General features: G+C 49.8%; 1 long non-coding RNA gene across 1 annotated transcript, besides 2 other annotated features; it reads right to left on the reverse strand.

Annotated features, from left to right (window-relative positions):
- Window positions 1,173-1,352: a silencer, noted in NCBI's record as "silent region_18887". NCBI's record gives its function as "represses an Ori minimal core promoter by ATAC-STARR-seq in GM12878 lymphoblastoid cells {active_cell/tissue: GM12878}" and the evidence as "EXISTENCE:reporter gene assay evidence [ECO:0000049][PMID:35858748]".
- On the reverse strand, window positions 5,346-8,242 carry LOC107986909 (uncharacterized). Its single transcript, XR_001745769.2, has 2 exons — window positions 7,655-8,242; window positions 5,346-7,124 (listed from the first exon to the last, which is right to left on the reverse strand). It is a non-coding gene; the product is annotated as an uncharacterized LOC107986909 (long non-coding RNA).
- Window positions 5,714-6,214: an enhancer, noted in NCBI's record as "H3K4me1 hESC enhancer chr8:6662895-6663395 (GRCh37/hg19 assembly coordinates)". NCBI's record gives its function as "activates a minimal SCP1, AML or CMV promoter by ChIP-STARR-seq in primed H9 embryonic stem cells {active_cell/tissue: H9 hESC(primed)}" and the evidence as "EXISTENCE:reporter gene assay evidence [ECO:0000049][PMID:30033119]".
- Window positions 8,243-8,285: the final 43 nt, after the last annotated feature.

An 8,285-nucleotide genomic window follows, 5' to 3' on the forward strand; every position in this document is an offset into this window, starting at 1 on the left:
TCTTGCTCTGAGGCCCAGGCTGGAGTGCAGTGGGTGATCTCAGCTCACTGCAACCTCCACCTCTCGGGTTCAAGCGATTCTCCTGCCTCAGTCTCCAGAGTAGCTGGGATTACAGGCGCCTGCTATCACGACCGGCTAATTTTTTTTAATTTTTTAATTTTTTATTTTTTATTTTTAGTAGCGACGGGGTTTTGCCATGTTAGCCAAGCTGGTCTCGGACTCCTGTCCTCAGGTGATCTGCCCAACTCGGCCTCCCAAAGTGTTGGGATTACAGGCGTGAGCCACCGGGCCCGGCCCAGAGTGGTGCATTTGTTACAGTCCGTGAACCTGCACAGACCCATCACCATCACCCGGAGTCTATCGTTTCCATTACAGCTCACTCTGGGGTTGCACGTTCTATGGGTCTGACACATGTACCATGCCATCCATCCCTGGCTACATTGCCAGACAGGGGACTTTCACTGTCCTAAGAATCCTCTGTGCTCCAACTATTCACCCTCCCTCATCCCGAACCCCTGGCAGCCACTGCTCTTTTTCCTGTCTCCATAGCTCTGCCTTTTCTAGAATGTCATAAGTTGGAATATGCAGCCTTTTCAGATTGGCTTCTTTCACTTAGTAACATGCGTTTAAATTTCCTCCTTGTCTTTTCATGGCTTGAAGGCTCATTTCTTTTTAGCACTGAGTAACGTCCCAGTGTCTGAGAGGGGCACCTCACAGAAATGAAAAGCACTTTCTAGATCTATAGAATTTAGAGCTGAACATGGGCAGCCCTGGTGACCCGTTCCAGAACTCACTGTCCCTGAAGAGACACAGAAGGTGACCTTATTTTCCTTAATGACCACAGCACCTGGAGGCTGACGTGTCCGTCCCCACAGTAACCACCCGCCCGTGGATGAACAAGCAGAGAGCCCTGGACGCTTCGTCAATGCTCACTTCACCTTTAAGGGCACCTGCTGTTGCAAATGAAAAGCTGTCGTATTCCTTCTTACTGAAAGTTGGTAACTGCATCTGAACACCTAATTATCTTCATAAACCCCGACACACAGCGCTCTGACCAGGGCAGGCCGGCAACTTGCTGGGAAAATGCAAAATGTCCTGCACTGCTGAGCTTTTCACAAGCCCCTTGGTGGGGTCCTTACCGGCGTTTGTGCGTTTGAAAGCAACTGATTGAAAATCAGGCCTCCAAGCTTGTGCTTGAAAGGACGAGAGCACCAGCCTGGGTCCGCGAGGGAGGGCGCCAGTGCCACCTGGTGGCCGCGCCGGGGAGCCCAGGTTCCAGCCTGGGGGCGGCTCTAAGTTCAGGGTCAGTCCCATCATTCCACAGGGCTGAGAATTAGTGAGCTTGCAGCCCCAGCCGCTCCTGCAGCCAAGCCTGAACGTGAAATACGCTGAACTCCGTCACACGCCTATTTCGCTAGCTCACCGCAGAACGGCTTTATTATGAGAGTCAACAGGATGTCGGTGTGATGATGATGTCCACAAAGAACGGCTTTTTGCAATGTAGAATTACGGCTCAATGTTACCATGAATTAAGTGAGAGAAGGTGGCCGTGGAACATTTATTTCAAGACGAAGTCAAAACTAAGCCAGACTAAGCTTTTCGCTGACAGTCACTGAAAATAAATGACTACAAATCCTGAACGTTTTTGATAACCTTACGAAATTCACCTTAGGCTTTTGTCCACCTAACTCCATTATTCAGATTTGTCACATGACTCCCTACTGCTGGAGCAAAAAATATATGTGTATTGACCTCAAAACTCTTAAGACATTTGAGAATGGAACGTTGGGTCTGATGATCTAACTGGAACTTTATCATTCATTCTGCAAGGGCTGTTACTTAAAACAAACAAACAGGCCACTCACGGTGGCTCACGCCTGTAATCCCAGCACTTTGGAAGGCTGAGGCAGGCAGATCCACTTGAGGTCAGGAGTTCAAGGCCAGCCTGGCCAACGTGGTGAAACCCTGTATCTACTAAAAATACAAAAATTAACTGGGCGTGGTGGCACATGCCTGTAGTCCCAGCTACTCGGGAGGCTGAGGCATGAGAATCACGAACCCGGGAGGCAGAGGTTGCAGTGAGCCGAGATTATGTCACTGCACTCCACCCTGGGTGACAGAGCAAGACTCCATCTACAAAACAAACAAAAAGAACAAATGACAACAACAACAACAAAACTAACAACTAAGATTGATCCCTTTTTCTTCACTGTTCCTAGAAGTTCTAGGGGTAAGAGGGGAAGACAGGGATCTCACATTCCATGGATGACGTTGTTGCCCTTGGGAAGCCTCCAAGGTCACCAGATGAAGGCAAGATCTCCTTAGATGATTTTATGGCTTTGGCATAATTACTGTAAAACTATCAACAAAAGCAAGCTTGACCCTCCTCAGGGTGCAGTGTGCATTTGCCTTTGGGATGAACCAGGTGAGGCAGTATCGGGGAGGGAGGACGGGGTACAGGTGCCGCCCTTCTTCCCTGGTCCCAGTCAACAACAGACCCCTGACTGCAGACGATGACTCCATCCTCTCGGGAGGGACCTGGGGGACTCAGCTTGAGAAACCAGAAAAGCCAAAAGGAGGCTCCTACCACATGGGTGAGACAGCTCACATCCACTGCCTTTGTAGATATGCATGGGAATTCCATGACCTAGCCAGACGAATGATCATATCCCTGTTTTACAGAAAAGGAAACTGAGTCTCAGAAAGATTAGGTCATTTATCTTTGGTCACAGGATTAGCTGGAAAAAGAACCTGGAAGAGAACCCAGGTCTCACATCCCACGTCGCTTTCCACAGTTCTTTGCTTTGCCCTCAAAGGCACAGTGAGCCAAAAAAGTACATGTCTTCAGTACTTGGCCAAACTTCAGGTATAAGAAAAAAAAGAAACAACAACAACAAAGACGAAGAAAGAACAAATCTCCCTTCTTTTCTCTAAATGCTCTATCTTTTAAAGTAACTTAAAGACAAAGCATCCCTTTGAATCTAAGACTTTAGGGTCTGAAAGATATCCTTAATTGGTCTTGGTTGTTTGTCTTTTTGTTTGTTTGTGTTCCCTTATTTCAGTTTAAAGGGCACACTAAGAACAAAATTCCATATGGTTTATTCTGTTCCCAATCTCATCTTCCCCCTCTTTCCCTTCCCCAACCCCAGCCTTGCCAATTTGTAGACAAATCAGAAAAATCCCCAACGGGCTGAAAACCTGTCCATGGTTCACTCCAGCTGGAAAGAATTGCGTTCCACCAAGATTCAGATCCCATTTATAATGGAAACCCTGACAGGCAAAGTTGTAATTACGGTTGTGCCATAATGAATGTATCTGTGTGGTCAAAGTAGTGGATTTTTCCATGGTATTTTTCCATGGAAGATTTCCTCCCTGAGAGATGTTAACTTAAAATCTGGATGGTAGCTTTGACTTTAGAGTAGGATCACTCCTGGCATTGCTATAGCTTGAAGTTAACTATTATATAGACTTTGGTAGTCATGATTAGCAAGCGGGATGTTAGTCAAATTGATATTTTGCAGGACTGATGGCAGTTGGGGGGTTGGGGTTTGGTGGTGTAGGAGCTAACTTAGGTAAGCTTGTATTGCCTTTCAGATTTTTTTAACCAGGAAATACTGTCTTTCTTTTCTGACATGATGTCTAATACGAAAGTAGAAAGGCTGAATATGGCTAACTGGTATTAGGGTGACCAACCATCCCAACTGGCCTGGGACCATCCAGTTTTGGCACTAAAATCTCATAAGCCAGGAAATCCCTCCATCCTGGGGAAGGCAGGACAGTTGGCCATCCCACATCCTATGGAAAATAGAATCAAAGTTAGGAGGACAGCCGAGTATTATGTTGGTGTGAAAGTAATTGTGGTTTTTGCTGTTATAACAGTCCGTGTTAAAGAGAGCAAGCGGACTTGAGTTTTCAAGTAAAATTCTTTCTTGGTGCTTCGAAAATCCTACTTAGTGTCAGCGGCATTAGCTTGAGAGCTGACTCAGGAAAGGGCTCAGAAGGAATGTGAAAATCCCTGCTTGGTATGGCAGAATGTCATATGGAAAACCAGACAAGTCATTGTTCTGCCCAACAATTTCATGGGTTAACCCATCCTCTGGCCATTTGGAGGCATGAAGAGAATGAGACATTTCACGGGTATCAGGCCCTCCCCAGAGGCTACTGCTGAGGGTTTTTCTTCTGCAAGCCCTACCTAATAGGCCCTTGGCTGTTCTTCCAAAACCTCTTCTCTATGCTGAAAAGGAAAGGGCGCAGGAAAGAAGGAATGTGGGGGCTGATTTGTGGAGCTCCAGCTTCCTGTCCAGGCCCCACATCCTGCCTCACTCAAGGGGCCTTGCCTTCTGGATCTTCTCCTTTTATGAAGCTCTCAGATTGCTCTGGTTGCCTTTCCAAGTACTGTGAAAATGGCCGACTTTTAGGAATTGGGGGACTGGGTGAGGTTAAAAGAAAGGAAGGAATACAGAATCAAAACGAAGGCAAGAATAGGGCAATGGCCAAAAACACCAGCTGATGAACTTGACAACTCTGTAGAGTGGCAGGAGAACATCTCTATCAATTTAAAAATGTAAGTCAAATAGATTTCTACAAACAGACCCTTCAGGACATACATATTGAATCTATTTGTGGATTTATAAATCCTGACCTTCAGGGTATGTATAGAATCCACTTCTGGATCTGGGCCTTCGGTGACTGTGTTGTGAGCCATTTCTGCGGCTGTAATTTCTATTGCTATGAGTTCCAGGGGCATAAGATGGAGGAAAAGGGCAGACATGGAGCTACTGACCTTGTGTGACAGAACATTCTCCCATCTCACCCACCGCCATGGAAGGAGTGTGCTTCCTGCCCCATGGGAGCTGGGCTTGTCGAGGCCATGCATGAGGCAGGATGGCAGAGTTTCCACTCGCCCCTCGGGGAACTTCCAACCTCTGCCTCCAGTCTGGCCACTGCCCCGAAGCCTGGGATGTGCGCAGAGGTGACTGGAGCCACAGCCCCATTAGATGACATGCAGACCCCAGTGGAAAATGCGTGCTCGCTGTTTTACGCCCATGAGCTTTTATGCTGTTCAATCTGCTGTTTATGCTGTTAATAGATCCATCTTTAAAAAGTGAACATAATTCAATTAGGAGGTGTAGCTGGTTCTTCTTCAGTCGCGCTGCTCCTATAGGATAACTGCAAAAGGGTCTCAAAATTATATTTTTTTTCTAGGCTTTCTTCTGTTGTCATAGGGAGACAGAAGATGTAAAATTTCCGTTCCTTCTTTTCTGCTTCTTAATAGAAGTGTCTAAAGGAGTTATGTTGCGTGCGCCTGCAAAGGGCACAGAAAGACAATCACCAGCAGTCCAGAATCCAAGTCCTAGATACATAAAATAGTTTTATTTTCATATGCATGAAGAGAGAGGAAACTGTGAGAAGTGGACACACAAATTTTAAAAGGCCACAGTTTGGGGGCCATTTGGTGCAGGGGCCAAGTGCTTGGCGGCGAGTAAGACAAGTCCCCGAGGCATCTCAGCACGGTAGCAGTGCCAGTTGTCTTCAGTTCTCCCCTCCAGACTGACTCTTTGCCCTGCCCCGGGCCATGGGAGCTGGTTTTTATAGACTGCCTGGAGACTCCACGTCTTTGGTTAGGTCTGGCCGATGCTGGTGGCCCTAGCAGAAGGGCAGGGCAGGTATCTTCTCCTGCCAGGTCCCTGGGGGTTGGCTGCAGTCCTTACCAACAGCACCGCCCAGACCCGGGGGACCAAGGGCGGCGAGCACTCTCTCTGGGGGTCGACAGCAGCCCCACGCCCGCCCTCAGGGATGCAGGCGGAGCGCTCTGCCATTCCTCCTGGGTTTCCTAACTCTACCCCACACTTTGTAAACAGCTCCTCTGAGCAGGAAAGAGAGAAGCGGCCATGTTCTGAGATGTCAGAGTTCTCCGCTACAGAGGACAGGGGAGGGAGTGAAAATGTTTCCACAAAGACCGGCCTACAAAATGGGTGTTCAGAAGCTTTGCTTCTGGAGGTAAAATCCTGAGTCATTCAGAAAAGCCTGGAAATCGAATTCCACGGTAAGAGTGCTTGCCATGAGCCATTTATCAAGCAGGGTCTCAAGGGGACAGAGAGTTGAACAAAATTTCCTGCCCTAAGGAGCTTATAATCGGTATGGAAACATTCATTGAAATCGAGCCTAATTTTCCACAGGTCCTGGATAGCAGAGGTTCCCTGCTTTTGGTGGAGACAGCGGTGCAGTGCAGTCTGTGGTGTAGGGCATAAGAGGGGTACCTGCACGGGACAAGAGGGGGGTGACGTGGACTTAAAAAATGAAGAGAGGCGACCTGGTAGCTGCCGCAGCAGACGGAGGATCAGTGCTCTGAGGGGAAATGCCATTGTGAAGCTGTGGGTGACGGCCACCTCCTGAGGAAGAGGCATCAGAGGAGGAGACAGAGACAGGAGAAGACTGCAGCCCAGGAGAACGGCCCACAAGTTCCCTGGTGTTTGCTTGAGGATGGATCTCCGCGGCACCAAGTCAGGGCAGCCACGGCGCACGAGTGGAGGGAGGAGTCCCTGAGGCGAGGAGCGATCTTTCAGGGCGCACAGTTTTATGGCGGGGGAGGCTGGAAAGGACCTAGTGGGGGTGGGGGATGCGGGGTGAGTGGATGGGACAAGAGTGAGTGCGGGGGGATGGAGGGTGAGAGGGTGAGGATGGGGGGTAAGTGGGTGGGAATGGGGGTGAGTGGGTGTGAAGGGTGGGGATGGAGGGTGGTTGGTTGGGAAAGAAGGGCGAGTCTGGTGGAAATGGAGGGTGAATCTGGTGGAAATACGGGGAGAATCTGCGTCCTGCTCACTGTGGACTTGGAGAGTTCTCCCACGAGTATGGCTTTGCCTCCCATACTCCCTGTGTCAGGGAAAGGAGGAGGTCGTACCTCTGTCGGGACAGACGTGGTGACTCAAGCGGGAGCTTCTCACGCACTGGACGTGGCACAGCCTGGGCAGCGCCGGCCCCTGTCCTTCCTGCGGACCTGTGAGGAGCATCCGGCTATCTGCACTGGCTCAGCCTCGCCCCCGGGCAGGTGGGTCACGGTTGTGTGACCTTGGGCTTCTGTGATAGACATGGCTGTTTCCGCTGTCTCCGGACATCAGTGTACGCTGTGGACAAATGCAGCCGGTCTACGTGAGGTCCGCTCTGCACTAAGGACGGGATGGGCTGAAATGCAAACTCGGGTCCAGACATAGCTGGAAGATGAGTGACCCGCCGCTGGGACTCAGGAAAAGCTACTGTTTTGGTTGTGATCCAATAGATAATATTTAGGCTACCAAACATCTATAAAACTACCACTAATATGATGAAGAAAAGAGCAGTCCCGGAACTCTGGGACCTGGTCCGATGCTTAAGGCCGGCCCTGGTGTTCTCCTGTTGGCCACAAAGCTTCTCACAGGACACCTCTGTGAGAAGCCTCTGACGTGGCCACTGGAGACCGTGACACAGCAAGACCAAAGGTCACCATGCAACCACAAAACACCAGGCTCCCCCTTTCCCACTAAGTGAGTGATGACTGCTTCTTTACCCATGGCAGCTTTATGCTTGCTCGACTCCCTCCCTACAGATGCAACTGACTGCAATACCGGGTCACAGCATTGCCCCCAAACCTGAGTAGACCCGGCTTCCCTAGACTCACCCAGATTCACCCAGCAAAGCCCAAATCCTGTAACTCCTTTCCAATCTCCTTTCACTGAGCGGCCCCGCAGTCCCCCACGGTGTGCGTGCTTCTTTGCCGAGAAGAGTCATAAACCCAACTGGTTCAGTTACAGGGGGTTCCTGGTGGTCTTTGTCTGAAGGGCATTAGCACAGCTGTCTCCAGATGTCATGGTCGTGCTCTATGGGCCCAGCCATAAAGATCCAGATGGGGGCTAGTGAGGTCCAAAGCACCATCCAGTCCCTTCTCCCCAAGACAGCAGTCAGTATTCAGTCCTGGGAGCTGGTGACAAGGAGAAGGCCCTTCTTCCATCCCCACTGAGGTCCTCTGTGTCCTTCCACAGGCAGAGGCATGAGTTCTCCTGGGGTGAAGCGTCATGGATACTCAAGGCTGGTTATTGTGGATAATTGCAAAACCTGACCCATAGAGGCTCCACGAGAGCAGGGAGCCGACATGCTCGTCTTCAGGTCTCCCGATGCACTGGTTTTCATTCTCTGGTTCTTCCTTTCTTCTCAATAGTGAAAGTGGGCTGGGCACAGTGGCTCATGACTGCAATCCCAGCACATTGGGAGGCTGAGGTGGGTGGATCACCTGAGGTCAGGAGTTCGAGACC

Source organism: Homo sapiens, chromosome 8, assembly GCF_000001405.40.
Source record: "Homo sapiens chromosome 8, GRCh38.p14 Primary Assembly".
In the NCBI taxonomy this organism is placed as follows: Eukaryota; Metazoa; Chordata; class Mammalia; order Primates; family Hominidae; genus Homo; species Homo sapiens.